General features: G+C 36.3%; 1 long non-coding RNA gene across 1 annotated transcript; it reads right to left on the minus strand.

The window, feature by feature from the left end:
* Positions 1-479: 479 nt before the first annotated feature.
* LOC105371301 (uncharacterized) lies at positions 480-5955 on the minus strand. Its single transcript, XR_933655.2, has 3 exons — positions 5898-5955; positions 1657-1735; positions 480-1187 (listed from the first exon to the last, which is right to left on the minus strand). It is a non-coding gene; the product is annotated as an uncharacterized LOC105371301 (long non-coding RNA).
* Between the last annotated feature and the right edge of the window lie 16298 nt (positions 5956-22253).

Genomic DNA, 22253 nt, shown 5'->3' on the forward strand with positions numbered 1-22253 from the left:
GATGGGAAAATATTACTTTAGGTCTTTTCCAAAAATGTTGTCAAAGTTTCCAGCCACACATAATTTAACTATATTTGAGAGTCTAGGACCATATATAGTAGGCTTCAGGGGGCATATGGGGATAATATACAAATATGTAATATACTTTAATTTTAATAATAAAATTTGTATATTGAAACATATTTTTTGAAACTTCAAACTCCACAAAAGATTGTCTTTGTAGGTTTCATGAGACTGTTGTTGGTGATATTAGTGATTATTTTTAAGATTGGGAAGGGGTAACATTATAAAATTAAGTGATAATGGCAATCACATTCAGGTCTATGGAATTTTCTACTAACAGCAAACTTTATTATTATCTAGTATAGGCATTTACCTAAGGTATATTATTCTCTTCATTATTAAAATAAACAAATTGATGTCCTGGAGGGGTTAAGTAACCTGTCCAGAGCCACATAGCTGGTAACGAAGACATAATCAGTACAGAATCTGATTTGGAGTCTGATTTGCATGCATTAGCTTCAGTATAAAATAAGGGTATTCTGTACTATCTCTATTTTATACTAAGGCAGATCAAGGAAAATCTTTCAGTGTATAGCTTTTTAATAGGAAAAAATGCCTTGCTTTGGAATAAAAATTGATGTAGAATGAATAAAATGGACATCATCAAAGATTTTGCATACATCTTAGAAAGTATAATTGATGAAAATAAAAGAAAGACAATGAATTTCTGGACTTCAGTGACTTCCTGGACATTTCCGATATTAAATCTTTCCACTCATTTCCTCCACACATAGAGTACTGTCTGAAATTTAAAAGAACACATATTGAGATAATTAAATAGAAAGGTTTTTTTTTTTAATGGAAGTTCTTGGAGAAACTATGAGATGAATCCTTTTTATAACTTTAGATAGAAAGGCAGTGAAGCTTAACAAATGTAAATGATTTCTAAACTGTACATTTGGTAGGAGGGCAGCTTCAGGGGAGACAGCAAAGCAGCAAATAGAAATGAACATCCCTTTTCCCTGGAAGCTTCATCCTCAAAGCTGGATGTCTTTCTGAATGAGCAGCCCAACATCAATGGCTAGCAAGTTAGAGATTCCTGTAGCTGCCCTCTAGCTTCTTGTTGCAAGGTCAGGTCATATGACCAGCAGGGCTCTCATATCTTTTGCAACACTTAGTAAATTCTGAAAGATACCAAGAAAAAGAAATTTTGTGGAAATGCAGAAATACTGTAATTTCTTATGAAGAAAATTATTTGGTAGGGAGAGTAAAAAGAACATTGGAGTTAGACAATCCATAGATTTTTGCCTTTACCAGGCACTGACTGTACAGCATAGGCATTGACATGCATTGCAAAGAGAAATCTGGTATAACAAATGCTGTCAGTACTTCACTTATTTCCTTGGCCAACAGCATCTTACTGTGATCACCTACTATTTTCTGCCTGAGGACCTTCACTGGGAGCATCCTAGAATGCTAAGGATTTAGTGGCTTGGGAGCTCTTTCCAACCAATGACAAATGAAAGTTGGTTCGTAACCACCAAGCTTCTTGCTTCTAGGTTTTATGTAAGACTCCCAGGTTCTCAGCAGGAGTTTACGGGGTCTCACAGGATAAGAACCACTTGCCTATAACAAATCTGTTTATTAACATACCTTATTTGGGTTTTCGTTCTTTCTCTGTCTCATGTTCCTGACCACATATGATACTTTCTGGAATCAACATCTGCATACCCTGTTGAAACAGGAATCCTTTTCTCAGGCTTTGTTTCAGGTCAAAAACAAGCTAAGATACTTAGTTATTTCATTTCCAAAAATTTTCCTTGTGAGAGAGCTCCTAGTTTTAGCTCCAACATGTAAAAGGTTTGAAATTTGTTACTCCCAACCTTATACTAAGAGAAAAAAAGCTGAACAAACTGCTTTTTAACTGCTTTTCTTGGGTGTGTTGGAGAACAGAAATCACATGGCAAACTGTTACCCTAATGCCTGGAGAGAGAGGGACATTCATTGGATCTGGTTAACTGGAGCAGAAGATTCTAGAGCCGTAACTGGTAAGAACATTAAACTGTCAATTTTGAAGAATGGCTGGAAACTGAATAAGGACTATCAGGAAAGTGAGAAGCTCCTAGGAGCTGAGGTTTTAGGAAGGCCCCCACATATTGGTGAATCTTACCACCAGGGACCTCAGTAGGCTGTGGCATTGAGGAACCAAGAAAGAGCCCATCATGGAAGGATGGAGAAGAGTAATCTAAATCAAATATGGCCAACTGTTCTTCATAACCATAACCTATGCTCTGTGGGAAAGATTTCACCACAATCATTCTGTCTGGGAGAAAGGCATTTCTCCAACTCAGGTTAGGGGCAGAAACTACAAAACACTTGTAAAGGTTACAGCCAGGGATACAAGCTCTCTAAAAGACACATAGAATGTTTCACCACCTCCATGCCTTACCACCGCACCAATGAGAGTCTGGTGCATTAGAATTGAAGGAGTTTTAAGACGCAGACTCTCCCTGAAGATGAATAATTTGGGAAGCCAAAATTTAAGAATAGAGACAAAAACAATTCTATCAAAAGAAATTTAAGATGCTGGCACCTACAGTTACAACTATATCAATCATCAATTTAAATGTAAATGTTCTAAATGCATGTTTTACAAAACAGAGATTATCAGACTGGATAAAAGTTTACACATAAATAAATAAGACCCAACTGTACAAGAAAAAAAGTGAAATCTAACTTTAATATAAAGACTTAGATAGGTTAGAAACAAAAAGAATGGAGAAAAAATACCATGCTAACATAAATCAAAAGAAAACTCAAATAGCTGTTTTAATTTCAGACAAAGCAGGCTTTGGAACAAAGAAGATTATAAGGAATAAAGAGGAGCATGCATAGTGATAAAGGGATCAGTTCTCAGAGAGGATGAAGTAATCCTAAATGTGTATGCACCTAACAATGCAAAGTAAAGATCATAGAAAGATAGCTGGACAATCTATGAATATTTGAAGATTAAACAACATATTTCTATGTAACAACGCATGGGGCCAAGAAGGTGTCTCAAGTTACTTTAAAACTTATTTTGAATTTAATGAAAATTAAAATACAACTTAACAAAATTTGTGCAAGGCAATGAAAAGTGTTTAGAGGAAAGTGTATAGCATAAATGTATATACAGTTATAGGAAAAAAAGAGAAAGAACCAAAATTCAATAACCTAAGCTTCAACTTTAGGAAACTAGAAAAATAAGAGAAGTTTAAGCCTTAAGCAAGCAAAAGGAAGGATTTTTTTAAAAAGTTAAATCAGAAACTAATGAAATAGAGAATAGAAAAACAATAGAGAAAAAAGAGTGAATTCAAAAGATTATTATTTGTTAAGATTGACAACATTCACAAGCCTTTAGTTAAATTGACAGAAAAAAAATGAGAAACAATGCTCAAATTGCTAGGATGAGAAATTAGGTGATGTTACTATTGTTCTAACACAAATGAAAAGGATTATAAAGGAATACGCTACTAAATTAGACAACTAACTTAAATTTGACAAATCTCTGTGAAGACATATACTACCGAAACTGACTCAAAAAGAAATAGACAATCTCCTTTGCAAAAGAATTCCAAGTAATTCATGTCGGTACCTCCAACAAGAAGGTGAAGCATGACTCTACTCTTTCAGTGTGTGCTGCTCATCATGACTTTCTTTCAAAGAGTACAATATCAAAGGTTGGGAATAGAGACAATGTTGCATTCAGAAAGCCTTACAAATGATATCTAAATCAGGTGATCAAGGTCAAAATCAACAGTGAGTAGTCATATTGACTGTATGTGCATTCAGTAAGATGTGGTGAAAATACAGCTTCTGTGATGTTCCTCCCCAGATCTCATACTCCAGTGTAATTATGAGAAAAGCATCAGGAAATTCTCAGTGGAGGAGGCTTCTACAAAATACCTAAGCAGTATTACTCAAAACTGTCAAGGTCATGAAAAACAAGGAAAGTTTGAAAAACTGTAGCACTCAAACAAGCCTGTGTGATGATATGGCAACTAAATGCACCATACTATTTTAAGGCATTATTAACAGGATAAACTGGCTGTGGAGTATATCGAGCTCTCTGCACTATTTTCACAATGTCACCATAAATCCAAACTGGCTTAAAATTTAAAAATGTATTTCCAAAATATTCTAATAATCCTACATTTGCAGACATGTTCACATATTATCTGTTTAATTCTTATAAGTCTCAAATGCTGTCCTCAAATTAAGTCCCTTAATTTCTTCACTGTTCCTTCACTCCTGCTCTCCTTTCCTCCTTCATTTAGGACTAGAATTCACATTTCCAGAATAGTCTCTGGTCAATTAAAGTTTGACATTAGAGAAATCACATAGTATCTATTTTTTACTTGAAAAAAAAATTTGCTTTAGTTGACATGAAAATTTCTATACATTGTTGTTAGGAATGCCATTTAATATGACTAGATAAAGTTAGCTATAAACAGAGAACTAGATAATCCAGGTCAGATTAGTTGATTTCTTTAGTCTCATACATTTCTCTCTAATAAAGTTGATTTTTGTACTTTTTCAGTGAGAATGAATTATTTACTTTTAAATGGGCTTCAGATACTAGCTCTTTCAATAAGATGTAAGATAAAGTAATTCTGCACGTAGAGGAAAAGGACTAAAAGAGAATTCATATCAATTAAATACCTCAGATTTGTCAGGAGACATCTGAGGGCAGTAGTCATTATTATTTAATCCGTAATCACACTGTACTTTGTGCTTTTCTGGGGGAGATGTACCAGAGTTTATTCAAAGTAGACATAGGCTCATTTGAGCCACTTGGGCGGATGGTAGCGCCATTCCTCTGTGAAGGCTTGGTGGGAAAAGGACCTTGCAGAGGCATTTAAGGCTGTTGTAAAAGTGGTCGTTGATTCCCCATGAGCATTCTCTCTCTCTGCCGCTCTCTTCTGATTAAAATGTGCTCTTTCCTCAAAGGAATCCGTCATAGAAATTATCTGTGCACATAAATTATCTGTGAACAGTTGTTCACCCTAGTGCAAGGTATAACTACTGCATGAGAAATGGCTTTAGTAGCCCAAATGGAAGAAAGAATGTAACCAAGGAAAAGAAAGCAAAGTTTAGCTGATCAATCATTAAGAATTCTTTCTTACGCAGTCTCACGTTTCCTGGCAGAAAACTGAAGCCAGAATCCATGTGGGTTATTTCACAATGCTATTCCGGATGTCTGTTGTAAAAAAGGATTTGAAACTTCCTAGGAAAACAATAGATGCAACACACAGGGGCCATGCTATTTTTGTTACCCCAGTCATCAGTAACTGAATAAATAAGCTGGAAATATTAAAATACAAACTATTTATGAATAAGATGTAAGTTACTTATGCAGATTGTTTTCATTGATGAGAATTAATAAAGTCAACTGTAACTTAGCATTATTTTCTAATATAAGCTATATTTGAAAATGTATTATAATAGTAAATTTCAGGGAATGTATTCAGGTTACATAATTAGTTTTGGAGTTGGTGAAGTCATTGAAAGCTAAATGTAATATCATTGAATAGCACAAGAAAAAAAACAACCATCAGGCGCAATAAAATTCTTAAGATTTTACCATCCTAAGGAAAATTCCTTTTAAAAAGGATCACAGAGAATTTAACTTTTTAGTTTTTCCGATTAAACAACATTATGCATATGCACTTGTTGTTTATGAAGCACATATACTATTACTGAAATTGCTGCTTGAATTTAGGAAACTGATGAAAATTAAGCTCATAAAAATTTAATGCCATGAAACCCAAGTATGGAATATACAGTTAGGGGGTAGCTTTTCAGAGAAACCACATTAAGGCTTGAAAAAAGAAATTACATTAGATTTTACTCACTAATTTTGAATATGAACAGTTTCCTTTGAGCAAACATGTAGCTTTTCCACGTTCAGAGCTGCAGTGAAATAATTCTGTTCTTAAAATATTAGGACAGGCTTAAGGTTACCAGGAAGGATGAGGTGAAAGATCTTGAGAGAATTGAGATAACTAAGCAGTTTCCTCCACGGCAGTGCCACTGTGTAACCTCATTTGAATGTTCAATGTAGAGTCATGCAGAACCTGAACCTGTAGAAAACTGACAGGATTTGGGGAATAGAATCTTTTCTGAGGAAGTCGGCCTGGACAGTTTACTTTTGTAAAAGTGCTTCTATTTTTTTCATACAAAATGTAAAATGCATGAGAAACAAAATTTTGCTATGCTTACTATTTTTCTACTAAAATGTGAATGGATAACTTGGTAACTCTACAACCGAGAGGGCACAGAGAGTTATGCAAAACATTATTTAGGTAATTATTTAGTACTGTTATATGGCTGTTCCATTCTATTGTATATTGGTTTGAAATGTTAAAATTACAAGATAAATGATAAAATGACAATAATAATTTAAGAAATACCATGGGATTTTGAAGAACAAGATATTGTGCTAAGAAAAGAAAAAAAAAAGAAATATCCTGTAAAGACAAAATATGCCCTTTGTCACGTACAAAGACAATTTTAATAATTAGAACAGTTTAAATATATTCCTTTCCTGTGAAAGTGAAAGAGATGTAACTTATTCAGTTTATACTATGGGCATGACACTAAGCTAAACAGATAATACACATGAGTTCATAAAATACTCAGAAGAGCACTTATACAAAAATACTAATATTCTCATTTCTAAGGTTAGGGAAGTATTTGAAAAGGTTCTTTCATGTCCCAAAAGTTGCACCCAAAGTAAGGAAGAAATAGCATTTTAAATATATTTTTTTTCCAATGCAGTATCTTTGAACAGGTATATTCAACTTTACTAGGTCAATCAAGACAATGTGCGATCATGGACTAAGAAAAAAACTATTCTTCCTCTGGACAGAAAGTAAGATTTGTTGACATTCCAAGTTCCATTAATATTGATTCTATTTGACTCTATGGCCATGGCATTTAATAAATGGAATTTTATACAAAATAGAACCTACTCTAGTGCTATTTCAAATTGTTTCCTTTCCAAAATGTGCTCTCCAGAGACTCTGAACTTTCAGAGAACTGGTCAACCTCTTTGAGTTATATTCACAAGATGTAGCACAATACCAAGCACACAGTAGGTGCCCAAGACATACATTTTAGAAAGTCTCAATTAAAAAAAGAAAAGTATAAAATAGCACTGGCTTGAAAGGGCAACTCAGAACATCTTGCTGTTTTCTTTCTCTGTTTACGCTTCTCTTCCTCATTTTGTTCACCCAAATTATTCTCATTTACAGTTCAGAACTTTTTCTGGTTATCCCTTATTTGGTAAAGAATTCCCTGAGCGATCCTAGCTTTCTATACTACTTTTATTTAACTTGCACACAGTACAATTATCCCATGTGCCACACTGTATTTTAGATGTGAGGAGGATTACCCTGATGTTGAGAGCCTGGGCTCTGATGTCAGACATGCTTGCATTTGGATCCAGGCCATTGTTTCTTAGCTCAGTGACCTTGGGTAAATTGCTTTACTACTTTGAGCCTTGGTCTCCTCATCCTTCATTATTTTCTTACATGGTTACTTAAATGACTAAACAATCTAGAATCTGCTGATAAGCAACTGGAAGTATTGGGAGCATCAGTGGCAGTAAGTTTAGTATCTTAACCCCAAGCCAAGTCTGAATTAGGAACCTATGATACAGGCTGTCCAACAGACTGTTCTATCAAGATCGACACGTTCTACAGCTGCCTTGCTCAGTTCAGTAAACACTAGCTACTTGTGGCTAATGTACACTTTTAAATGTGACTAAGAAGACTGAGGAAGTGAATGTGTAATTTTATTTAATTAATGTATCTTCAAATAGCTCACATGGCTACTGGCCTTACTGGATAGCACATCTTTAGAGTACAGGAAATATATATATGTTATTATATTATATTTAGAGTATAGGAAATATACTTATATATTATATATTAATATAATATTAATTAATATAATAATATAATATATTTATATAATATATATTTCCTGTACTCTAAAGGTGTGCTATTCATGCAATACATACAATGCATTTTATTTCTGGCGCCCAGTACCATATTAATTGGTAACAAAATGATCCTCTAGAATCTTCTGTGGACTGTGGGGAGAAACAATATGTGTGATGATAGAAATGTGTCATTGTTTACAACAAAACAGATTTCCATTATTTTTGTAAGAAGTCTCCTTAGTGGCCACAATCTTCACTGAGTTTAAACTGCAGTCAACATTAGCACCTTTCCTCACTGCCTGTTTGCTGTAAGTATCCTTCTTTAAAAAGCTTTGCTGGCACACAAGCACATTTTATAAACTATACTGGCATACCATTATAATCTTAGAAAGTGGAAGACCCAGTATGGTTAGATTCCCAAGAGGAAAGAGTATGAAATACTTGTAATTTAGCTGGACTTGAATTAGAATTCAACTCAGGCACCATTAAGCTGAGTGGTCTTGGACAAATTACTTACTTAATGTGTCTGAAACTCAGTTTGTTCACCCATAACATAGACACCAATGCATTACCTACTATAAAGTATACTAGTGAGCATTAAATTATCTACATCCTCTAGTTGGAAGAACACAGCACAGAAGACAACTCATAGATGATGTCTTTCCTCTGAGTTTCATTATTTCCATCATACAGCCCTCACTTAATAAAGGAACAAAATATTTATGTTTTATCATTCTTGTCTCTAATTGGCATCACCATTCCAATTCTCCCCATAACCAAGTGGTTTCCTCTCTCTCTCCATGGAGACTTATTATATCTTCCTTGATGCAATACCCAGTATGAAATTTCATATTCTCCTCTGCCGTGTCCCTTGACTTTGGACTTTCATGTTTATTCTTTTCCCCAAAAAATGATTCTCACAGGTAAGAAGTTTTTGCTATTTAAGTGAACTTCTCTGATTACCTTTTCCCCACTGCCAATTCTCTTTCCTTTGATATGTCTTTGTTTCTTTTCTGAGATGTGTTAACTCCTCCATATGGACAGAAAGAGGCAGAGAAGAGGACTAACATCATTAAAGGGTATATTTTAGTTAAAATGGTGTATGTAATCTGTAAAACACCAGTTACGCTTCTCAACAACTGAACTCCCATTCAGAGCACAGGGAGCTGTGGCTTAGAGAAGTGGTGAAGTCGTGCTGCCAAGGTACCACCGTTAGTGAGAAGCAGAGCTGGGATTTGAACCTCATCTGCTACTCCAGAGCCCATGGCGTTTTCCACTTAGACACGCTGCCTTTTGCCCTAAATCTCTCCATAGCGGAGCCACCGGTCAAGCTCCCATTCAGAGCGATGCAGCTGCAGCAGTCAAGGGAAAGGGAAGGAAGAAAAGCCAAGCAGCTCAGCATGAAGAACGATAATAACCTAACTTAGATTTAAATAATGATAACCCCTCAGGGACAGGTTCCTAGCCTGGAGAGTGATTATGCAAATGAACCCTGTGTGTATTTCTGAAAGTAACATTTTGAATGGAAACCAAACACATTCACTGACTTCAGTGTTGATGACTATTTTAAGCTGGCTTCACAAAAAGAGCATTCCATCGTGCCTGCTTTTCTGCCCTGTTTCAAAAACATACAGCCAAGGGGAAAGGGCAAGTGAGCTAGCATTTAATGAGTCCTCTAATGTGCCAAACACTGCCTTAGGCACTTTACAGATCCTATTTTATTTAAGCCTAACAAACGGCCTGAGCAGTAGGTTTTGCTAGCCTCCTTTTTTTTTTTTTTTAAAGAAAATCAAGACAAAAGAAAATCATAAGGGCAACTGTTGAGTGCCTAGTAGGTATCAATTTTATGGTAACAACATTTAACATTTATGACAAGGTAATATAAATCAACATCATCTTAATACCCCAACTAAGTGAAAGATAGTTGAAGCAAGAAAAATTATATAATCCCTTAGAAATATAGACACAAAATTTTCTTTAAAGTATCAAACCAAATCTATTGATTATTGACTGAAACATCCTAATATATTATGATTAAGTAGTGTTTATTCTAAAAAATATACATGACTTAATTCAGTTAGAATACTAGTGTGATTCACCATACTGACCTATTGATGGGAAATGTAATCAATAGATTTAGAAATAATATTTGATTAATTTAAAGATGTGGTTATGATTTTAGGAATAGAAAAGCATATCTTTAACCTGATAAATCTATAGAATAAATTTTTGTCGAATGATTAGAAATATTTTCTTTAATATTTGTAACAAATAAAAGATGCCACTTCACTGCTTCTGTACAATGCTCTACTGGAAGTCATAGGCATCAATTTAAAAATAAGACAAAGGAACATAATTTAAGAACTGGAAAGAACAAATTAAACTTTACACACACACACACACACACACACACACACAGGTTTCTATAGCCCATTTGGTTCTCTTTGCCTTAAAAATTATTTATCATTTGATGAGACTTTTAAAAAGAAATAATTTACTATATTTATACTACTATAAAGAGGTAGTTGTAGCAATCTGGTCCTAAATTATTGATCTCTATAGTAGTATAGAGGTAGTTGTAGCAACCTGATCCTAAATTATTGACCTAGATCAGAAACATTGCTGTATTATTGAGCTAGTTCAGAAAGATTGCTGGATACATCAACATAAAACAATCATTTGAATCTTTTATTTAGTAACAAAAATATAATTTTAAAAGATATTATTTAAAGTGTCAGCAAAAGAAATAATGAATGTAGGGAATCAACCTACAAGAGACAGTTAGATATTTTGTACGATATTATAACTCTTTTCATAAGTCATAAAGAACACAAAATATACGAAAAAATATACCATGTCTATGGATGGGAAGACTTTGTGTCATATATGCAGTGATACTCCCCAAACTATTCTAGACACTTGATTGTAATGCCAATCAGTACTTTAAAACAGGTCTTTATGTAGAAATTGACAGATGGTTTCAGATGACAAACAATAGTGTAAACTAAAAATAAATTTCTAAGCCCCCCAACCAACTGAATGGACCCCTCTTCTTTGGCCAAAGGCATCCTAAAATAAACATGAAACACCAGTTCAGGACATTATGGGAATGGATGCTCAGACATACCTCATTAAACCCTACTCCTTTTGGAAATGAGGCACAGCTAACCAGCATTTACATTGAAAAAGAGACCTAAAAACTGATAGAACAGACTCTTTAAATCTGATAAGAAACATGAACAATCTAGTCTCTCCGAAGCCTGCTACCTGGAGACTTTATCTGTATAATGAGAACCTTGGTCTCCACAACTCATTATCTTAACCCAGACACTCCCTTCTCTTGATTCCAATCTTTCGATAAACTCTTTTAACCAATTACCAATCAGAGATTCTTTGAATTCACATAGAATCTAGAGGCCCCTGACAACCCCCACTCTGAATTGTCCCACCTTTCTCGACTGAAACCAATGTAAATCTTACATGTATTGATTGATATCTTATGTCTCTCTAAAATACATAAAACCAATCTGTTAGCCTGACCACCTTGGGCACATGTTCTCAAGATTTCCTGGAGCTATGTCACAGACAATGGTGACACATATTTGGCTAAGAATATATCTATTCAAACATTTTAGAGTTTGACCTATTTCATTGACAATAGCCAAGACACTTTAAAAGAATAAAAGGAAACATTACTTAACAGGTATCAAGAATTTCTATAAGCTAGGGTATCAGAATATAGGGATTTTGTCACAATAGTTAAAAAAAAAAGATACAGACACAGATCCAAGTACATTTGTAGTTTCATTAAAAGTCTAAAATTAAGTTTGGGGATGACTTATGGGACATCTCTGTACTGAGGACCTCTGGATCTCAACTTAAATTCCTGCCAGTAGAAGCACATTTCATGGTCCTGATATAGGAGTTAAGAAGAAATTATTTAGGCAGCTAGTGAGGTTTTCCTTTTAATGAAAAGCAGCCCCCAAATAATTTTCTTTTCTAATAAAAAACAGCCTGTAAAATCAAGCTGCAGACACATATGAGCAAGCTGGAAGCTTGCACAGGTGAATGCCGGCAGCTGTGCCAATAGGAAAAGGCTACCTGGGGGCTAGACATGTCCAACATGGGGGCTCCATCTTCCCTTCCCCTTTCCTTGTCAACCATGGGTACAGTAAGGAACAGGCAACATGTGCCAGCCAAGTAGAGACTCCATTTGCATAATAAAAGATTAGGGTGAAGTGGCCTGCTTCCTTATGTGCTATGATAACCTCACACCTGGTCCAACCAATCTTTGGGCCCTATATAAATCAGATACTGCCTCCTCAAGCCTATCTATAAAACCCTGTGTGCTCTGCTATGGTCCAGAAGTCCCACTCCAGAGCCCCTCACTCTCAGAGGAGTGAGAGCTGTTCTCCTTTCTCTTTTTTTGCTGATTAAACCTCTGCTCCTAAACCCACTTATTCTGTCTGCATCCTTGATTTCCTTTGTGTGAGACGACAAACCTTAGGTATTTACCCCAGACACAACACCTCTTCAGTCCCAATGACATGAAATTGACACTGGCTTATTCCTCATCCTGTAAATAAGATTCCTAAATAATCCTGCCCACTTTGGTCTCTGAAAAGAGGGAGGCTCCTATTTCAGCACAGAGTCACTGTTTGGCAGGTTCTGGGTTCTTGTCCCATGACCATGAGAAATCAGGAGAGTGAGCAAGGCAGAGAAGAATTGTATTGAGCGACAGAAAAGCTCTCAACAAAGCTGTTGAAACAGTAAGTTATCCTAGACTCCTGTTAATTTTTCCAGAGAAAACTGAAATCTTTAACAACTGAAATAATCTTTTTTTTCTGAAGAGGTCTACTTTTTTCTACTTTTTTTAGGGGTTAAATATTTCATAAAGCCCATGAGTTGAGAAATACATACATATACATGTCCTTGTGATGGTCTCAATTCCTTGAATATCATCCCCTTTCCGAGACCTGGATTTCTCCTCTCTAGTATGATATGGTATAATCATAAATATTTGGAAAGTATTAGTGAAGGAAAATAGCCTGAACTGCTGTTAGCTGATTAGCCTCATATTACTTCAATCACATCCAGGCCTTAAAAGTGCATTAGAAGACAAGGTCTTCATTCTTTTACCTTTCAGACTCATAATAAATTGACACATATTCTGCTAATTTTACACTCTTTTTTTTTCTAATGAAAGAAAGCCAGGCCTCCTATTTCTTTTATTTGTCTTTGTTTTAATAAGGTGTATACTGTCATAAAACTTCCCAATGCTAGTTGAAGCATTCTGCATGCTTTCTGAAACTAAAGAAAATGTCTATACTTGAATAGAACCCAATTTCTATATCTGAATAGAAAAAATTTGTTTTCTAAAAGTGATGGTTACAAAAGAATTGACCTTTTGGAGAGTGATCTTATATTTAGAAGGGATAATTTTATAAGCCTCCTTAAGATGAGACCTCCAAAGCATGTGTGTGTGTCACCAAAATTATATCATTAGTTTCTTGAGGTAGTGGAAGGATTTTGTTAGTTGCACCAGGAATGTAAGATAGAGCACAAACATCAAACTTATAGAAAACATCATCTTCTGTCATCCATGTAACTGTTTCCTGATACAGTCTTCTAGTATTCTGTCAACTTGCCCGTAGTTTCAGAAAAATTACTAAAACCATGACATGCTTAGCAAGAGTGTGTTAGAAAATGAATAAAATAATATTAATAAGATGACACTTTACAGCAAATTTATAGTGGGAAATACTGAGGTTAAATCCAGGAGGAACCAGGTTTTACAGGAAGTTATATTTAATTAAATCCCTATTGGTAGAGGTGAAGATTCAGTGTACATGTTTGCCATATAACATAGCCAACTTGCATAAAAATTTGAAAATTTTTAGAAAAAAAACATACAATTATATGCATTATTAATTCTACTCTTCTAAAATAATTCTGTCACCATGTTGTTAAATTTCTTCCTATCTTCCTGTCTTTTTCTTCCCTCTATATAAGTCTGTTTCTCACTGTAATCATAGTACCTATATAAATGTATATCTTCTTCCCTCAGTTAATAGTGTATTGCTTTTTCATTATCTGTGAAATAATAATCTTCCTCTTATTATTTCAATGGGTGCATAGAATTCCATTGAGTGACTCTACGATAATTTATTAATCTAAAAGAATGAATTTGGGAAATACTTGTCTTCAATTTTTTTTGCACCTGTTATTTTAAGTAATTCAAGCTGAATATCTCTGTAAACTAATATCATATTCATAATTATTTCTTTCAAATGGAATTTGTGTCCACATGTGTAAAATTAGAACAGTATGCATATTTAAGGCCAATAATGTATTTTTAGATTATAAAAAATCATCAAATAAGCATGTGCTATTTTCTTATACTTATTAAAAATAACTGAATTAGTTTGACATCTCAGTTGTCTGAACCAAAATGGTTAATAGTTATGTCCTTAAATTCTAGGAATATTAGTTAGCTTGTAGAGTAATCATTATTTCACCTAAAGACCTTAATCATAAAAGTGTCAAAATGAGGACAGCATAGGACCTGAATTCTCATGGCCAATGTGAAAATAGATATATACAGAAATAGAGAAAGAATGGAGCATGAAGTAGAATATAGAGTGCACTGTCTTTCTCTCTATATATGTAAAATACATGCACATGTATTATGTGCATAGAGCTATTATTAGCAGAGATTAATTAAGAGTGTACTTTTGGATACCAAGGTATTTACAATATGATATTTACAATGAATTAACAACATGATTCTAATTATAGAGTTCCTAGAATTTCAATCGCAATAGCCATAACATGATAGCTAATGAAAAACTTACTTTTTTTTTTTTTTTTTTTGAGACGGAGTCTTGCTCTGTTGCCCAGGCTGGAGTGCAGTGGTGCGATCTCGGCTCACTGCAAGCCCCACCTCCCAGGTTCAGGCCATTCTTCTGCCTCAGCCTCCTGAGTAGCTGGGACTACAGGCGCCCGCCACCATGCCCGGCTAAGAAAAACTTACTTTTTGTTAGATCCTCTGCTAAGAGCATTATATATTATCTCAAAGAACTGTAGAGGAGGAAAAACACATTTTCCGCTACCCATCTTAAGTTTATTGGCTGAAGCCCTGTACATGAGACTGACAAAAGACAGATTCACAAGAGAAAAACAAGCAGAAGTTCTTGAACGCAGGCATCATACACACATAGAAGCACCCAGTGAGGAGTACAACTCACAGGCATGGCTCAAGCTTGGGCCCATAGAGCATCTTCACCAAAGAGCAATAATTTTGTAGAGAAGTGACAAGAAGAAATGACATAGGATTCTTTTGGTGCCACTTTGCCATCTGGAAATCTCTACCGCTGGCAGTGCCTCTGCCTGTGCTTCACTCCCACCCATGGGGCTTGCTCTGCCCGCTGGGCCTGACAGGCTGTGCTCTGCTCGTACTATGGCCTGGATTCTGCACCCACTGTGGCTCTGTGCTCAGCCTGCAGCAGGTCCTGCAGCCTGCCATGACTGGCTTCCGCCTTGGGTGTCAGCATCTGGACAAGGGGAATGTAGCCGTACCTGAAAACTTGGAGATGCCAACAACTGTGGAGCCCCAAGGGGTGTTCTAGCTTTTGCCTGGGGAGTCCCAAGGTCTGAGCCCCCCAGGAAGTGTTAACAGCTGTCGTTTGTTCCTGCCACCTGCAGCTTCGGCAAATGGGGGTGTGTCGCAACTCGTTTGGTCCCGCGCTGGCAGCTCAGCAAATCGGGGTGTGTGGCGTCCAGCAGTTTTTTTCACTCCTGTAGCTCAGGAAGCAGGAGCACACGTTACAGCTCTTTTCGCAGCAGCCACTGTTTGGCAGGCTCTGGGTTCTCGTCCCACGATCAAGAGAAATCAGGAGAGTGAGCAAGGCAGAGAAGAATTTTATTGAGCCACAGAAAAGCTCTCAACAATGAGAGGGGGCCCAAAGTGGGTAGCCCTCTGAGAGGGAGTCCGAAAGCGGGTAGTCATCTGTGAGGCTGAGTCCGGGGGATTTTATAGGCTTAGAATGGGGGAGTGCATGCTGATTGGTCCACGAGTAGGCTTTGAAAAAACACCATTCGATTGGCTAAAAGGCATAGAGAAAGTTCTTACTCCAATAGTGAACTCCACCCAGAATTGGCCACTGGTTTTCAGGCTTTAGGCTGTCTTTTGCTTGAAGGTCGGGTTTTACCGAGCACCCATTTCTGTTTGCGTAGGAATTTGTCTGTCTCCTGCAACTATCAAAAGAAAAAATGCTGAGCTTCAAGGAGCAGTAAATTGTGAAAAGGCAAATGTTTGAGCAAACTAATGGTAGATAAGAATAGTTATGTTGGCTTTTGGAGACTCTTTTGGTGACATCCTGTCACTTGTGACAAGGTTGTTATTCCCTTCCTGGTATGGGAAGTAGGGGGTCACCTTCACAAAAGGAAGAAATGTTCTGCTTTCAGGCAGATGGGTGGAGAGCAGAGAGCTCATCCTGTGTCTGCTTTTTCTCAATTGCCTTCACCTTAAAATAATCTTTATGCCACAGTGATGCATTTTGACGTCACATACTCTGAATGTCCTCAGAATAGTTGCAAAAATTTTTGAGATAATTAAACATCATTTTATAGATGAGATATTAATCTCAAAATTATCTACCAAAGGTAAATAAACTGGTTAGTGGCACTGACTGGATTCAAAACTTGGGATATCTGAATCTAGACAACTCTTAACCACTTTTCTGAATGCCTAGGGGGTGTTTGCAACTGCTTTGAGGGGATTCAGGTAATTAAAATATTTGTGTTTGCAGCTGCTTTGAGGGGATTCAGGTAATTAAAATATTTCACCTTTCCATCAGAAATTAAATATTCATTTCAATTTGGTCACACAAATTAACAAGCACATTAAATGTGTTTGCTCTGGGCTAGAATAATATCATCTCTGTGCAAAACAGTGATAAATTATACTAATCAGAGCTCACTGTCAAGTATACCTTTCTTTTGTTAATAAAACTATAGACCACTTATCTCTTAAAAGATGAAGTCAGTGATCCCCAACTTTGTATCATCAAGGACACTTAAGCCTAATCACTGTATTTGTGGTGTATTTTTTCTTCCAAAGAATATAAGTTACTTTCCTTGTCCAGTTAATGCAGATATTTCAGAATGTAAGAATAAGACATGAAGCTGTTCTTTCTGAAACAGAATTTAACTCAGAATCCCAAGCTCACACAGACTAAAGGGTCCAGTGCTTTCGCTTTGAATTCAAGTTGCTTCTGGGCATTTTTCTACCCTTTGGCATTTCTCTCTCCAGCTTAATTGGACATCACATTTTAACACCCTCAGGTCTGTCTTAACACCACTGTTTTCTAATTATCTCATATTCCCTGAGCTTCCAGCTTCCAGTTGTATTGGTTCAGATGCTTTCAGATTGATCCCTATGTTGTACCATCTGCAAATTTGATTGCTACACAGTTTATTCAAATCTATCATTTGAATAAAGATCATTAATAAAGGAAGAAAAGAAAACAAACAGGCCTATACTGGTCCTGCCTCCCACTTCCACACCCCCAACTCCCAGCCAGTTCCCTTCAGGCCCAGGCACAGTCATTTATCACCAGCCCATGTTTGTGTCCCAGGAGCCTACCTTGCCGTGTGGACAGGGCTGACATCCAAGTGTTCCTCTGTTTGTCTTATGTAAGATCATAGGAAGAGCCATATTGGGCACTTCAGTTAATCCAGGAATAACAATCCCTCACAGTTTTATGGTACTTAAACTCAACTGTCATTTTACTTCACATGTGGGTTCTAAATATTCCAGAAACTACAATAAGGCACCAAACTGTAAGTTTTCTGAGGCTAGAAACTGTGGATATTTGTGAAGCTGAGGTGAATTTCCAGTGACCAGTCTAGGGCCTGAAGCATAGATTTATTTAACATCTAGTTTTTTTATTAGGTTGGTGCAAAAGTAATTGTGGTCTTTGCCATAATTACTTTTGCATCAACTTCATACATTCATGCTACAAAAAAGGTCCATGTCCTTCAATGGCTAAAACTCTAGTGGTAAAATTGACCTTTGTAAGCTAAATATTTTATGACAACAAATATTGCTTAGTAAGCAATTAATTTTATAACCATCAGAAAGTAAAGCATTCCTTGGTTTTCCCATCTGTAAAATGGGTGAAAGTTGCTTGTTCACAATCATTCAATAGTACACGTGTGCATATTTAAACACATACATATCTTTGAAGTAGCTGAAAAGTCACCTCTTCCCTAAAGCCTTCCTGAACTCACTCTCCTCTAATAGCTTTGGAAGTTTTTTGGTCCATTCTCATAATATCTTGTGTATATTTCCATTTTCACTCATAGAAGATGCACAATACACACACAAAGTAGGGTGTAATGTTTTTTCAGCCAGCTTGTGAATGTGAGCACAGAGTCAGCATGTTATTTCTTGGTATAATCTCCCTCCATGCCTGACACACCACCTGATTTATTTGTGTTGTCCTCCAGATAAATCAATTAAGTTATTTAGCACTAGGATGAGAGCCAAACTTCAATCTGTAAGTTCAGGGCTGTCTCTACCATGTCATAATTGTCATCTTATTTCCATTTTATTAGACTACAGCCCATGTTTAGTTATATTCTTCCATGTTTCTTGGATCCACTTCTATTTCATCATTATATGGTTAGAAATTGAATTGTGAAGCATGTTTATTGTTAACTATATTATAAATTTATTCTGAGATTAATTAGTACATGTTTGCTAAACACTGTATACTTCTGATGCTTTGATGCTACTCAATTAAAGAAACTTTTGTTTCTTTAATCAAAAATGCTCTCTCAGTTTTGAAAGCATTCATGTTTATTAAGTCCATGTCATGGGTTCTGTCCTAGAAATATCCAGTGCTTCCTAAAAATATCCAGTGTTCCTCAGTCTTGTAGTCTGTCCCCAGGTTGTAGGAGATCAGTCAGGGTGGTGGGAAAAGTTATAAGAAACAGTTATAGGGAAAGATGCAAACCTTCTTGGAAGGCCGGGAGGTTTTGCAAATGCTTCAGTAAAGAATTATGGCTGAAGGCAGCCAAATTCTCCTATCCGGCTGCTGAGAGCAAAGGGCAGATAACAAGGGCATGTAAAGGAGATTATCTAGACAAATTTGTTTACTTCTGTCTCCAGAAATCAACCTTTGATCGTTTGCATGCAGGGCTGCTCTCTACTCGGGGTCGACACTGTTTATTACACACAAATTGTGTTTGCTCCAAGCCTTTGTCGTTAAATCTGTACTAAATAAATGTGAGTGGGGCCAGCTTATGGGGGCAGCACTCTCATCGGCGGTGCTGAGCCGTGAGGTCCCCTACCTGCCCTGTCAGGCAAAATACTTGTGTCAGCATACTTCTTTCATCCGTCACTCAGCCAGAGTCTGTAAGACAGACTCAGCACTAGGTCACATTTTGAAAGAGAAAATAGAGCGAAAAATCAGTCAGCTTTCCAAATTTGTTTTTAAATTATTGACAATAAACAATATTATGTGACATATGTCACATACAAATATTATTATGTGACATATTAGAACATGAGATACTTTCACAAAATGATTTAGGATTTAATGACTGCCACATCAAGTAGAGATAATTTTTATCCACCACAGGTATATTCTATTATGGAGTGATTACATCACTCAACACAGGACATATTTTCCCCCAGTCATTAGTTGTCTGAATTTCAATAGCTTGCTTTATAGGTTAGCTCAGTTGACTAGACCCTCATGCTAAAGAATCCATCATTATTACACATTAAACTCAAAGTTAGATGACTGTATACCTGGGTAGAGAGATCATACTACATATTCTCTCATCCACAATCCTTGAGATCCTGCATTTTAAAATACTTTCCAAATGGTTCTAATAGTCAGTATATCTGACACACGCCTAATCAACACTAATGTCCTTTAAGTGTAAATGAGAGTCTTGAGACTAAAAGGGCCAGGGTGGTTCATTCAGGGACATACTCTGAGACTCAGAGCTGAAAACAGATCAGTAGTTCTTGATTCTGAAGCACACGGAAAACAAAGAAAAACAAAAGAGTCGAAAGTCAAAGGTGATTCTAATTATCAGTGAGGATTGAGACTCAATGAATAAGATCTAAATCTGATTCCCATTCTAGTGCTCTCTGCACAAGTAATATATCTCTTTAATTTTCAGCTCCTTGTTTTTGGAATTTTTGGTCACCAAATTCCACAGATAAAACTAAAATAGATAACAGATCTATATGTTTAACAGATCCAGAAGACAGGATTCCTCCCATGGTAGTTTGTGAGATGACATTGATAAGACACAAATTGAAAATCAAGTAACATTGATAGAAACAGTAAGAAAGTCACTTTTATTTTTTCAAATTTTTTTCTGATATGTCAAAGATAAAGTCAGATAAAGTCCATTTGAAGTTACTGTGGTATTATTTTATTTACCAGTATCTTTTTGTATGAAAGAGAATGAGGAGGCATTGGCAGAGGGTCAAGTATGTGTGAGTTCGTGTGTCTTGCATTGTATTTATTTTCATAGTTCCCTTTACTTATAGAAAGTAACATGATAATAAGGTAAAATTTTCTTTTAAAATTAGCTTTCAGCAGTCTACTTTGGGAAATATATTTTAATGTCATTAATATTAAATATTAATTTTTTTAAATAGTGTCAGGCTTGTGAGCATTCAGGAAATCATTGCAGGAATAATAATGACTGTTACCGAATATGCTTGTCCATGCAATCAAAGCCTTTGACACTTCATTCAAGAACTCTCTTGTCTGTTACATCGAGGATCATGTCAAATATTCTTAAAGGGAATCTTCTGTTCCAGTAATTTTTGTGATAATCCCACCATATGTTACTATTTTGGAAAACTTGATAGAGAGATGAAAATATCAAAGTAGGCATATGTTTTTATGAAAGTTTCAGAAAAGTATGTTTATTTTGACTTATGTCTAAATTAGATTCCTAACAGCTGAATGAAATGTAAATTAGTTGTTTTTGTTGCAGAAGATAGACATTCCATAAAACATGGTATCAATCGTCTTAAAAGTGCTTTATTTTGGTCTGTGAAGTGATGGCCGGCATGATCACTCTTACAGCTGATAAGAATGAACACCAAAAAGTGTTCAGACACTCAGGACATAACGTGGAAGTAGTCAGGTCGTGCATGTCCTTTCAATCTTCAGGGTTTTTGTACCTACCACTCTCTCTGAACAGAAATCTTTCTCTTCTTCCTTTCTCCTTTTTTCCTAACCTGCATTTCTGAAAAGCTCTTCAGGTAATTTGGATCATCAGGCAGGTGGGAGTGACTGATCTAGTTCAAACTTCTTCATCTATAAAAAATAAATTAGCACCCACACAAAGCCTCCCTGATGCCACTATGTCAGATCTCTAGAGCACCCTGCATTCTTTTACTTTCATAGGATTGACAAAAATCACAACAAATCACAAAGTGGCATATGCTGAGAACCTATTAAAGTATTTAAGATTACTTTTTTCACTTAAGTTCCTTGAGCACAAGACCATGTCTGTCTCAAGCATCCCTTTAACCCATTGCTTTCCTAGAATCGGGTGTGGTACATGGCAGATACGCAATATATCAGTGGTCCCCATCCTTTCTGGAAGCAAGGACTGGCTTTGTGGAAGACATTTTTTCACGGATGTAGTGAGGGGGTGGGTAGTTTCAGGATAAAACCATTACAACTCAGCTAATCAGGCAGGCATTAGATTTCCATAAGGAGCACACAATCTGGATCCCTTGCCTGCACAGTTCACATTAGAGTTTGTGCTCCTATGAGAATCTAATGCTACCTCTGATCTGACAGGAGGCAGAGCTCAGACTGCAATGCCACTCACCTCCTGCTGTGCCTGCCCAGTTCCCAGCAGGCCACGAACCACTCCTGGTCTGCCTCCTGGGGTTTGGGGACCCCCGCAATATGTGTCTTCTTAATAAATCTGCAAAAGCCTTTCTAATTCTATAGGGACCGTGACCATTAACACACAATATTATATTGGAAGGTGCTTTGGACTGTCCAGAGTGTTAAACGAATGTAAGGGAGGGGTGAAACTTTAACATAATTGCCAATATCATTTTCTTCTCACTGACTTACTCAGGAATGTGGGTTACCTGACTCATGGGTTTCCTGCACTGGAAGACTTAAAGCACTACTTCTGAACAATATAGAAAATGGACTAGATGTATAAGTACCAAGCACCTAGCATAGAATACAGGTTATTA

This window comes from Homo sapiens, chromosome 16 (assembly GCF_000001405.40).
Source record: "Homo sapiens chromosome 16, GRCh38.p14 Primary Assembly".
In the NCBI taxonomy this organism is placed as follows: Eukaryota; Metazoa; Chordata; class Mammalia; order Primates; family Hominidae; genus Homo; species Homo sapiens.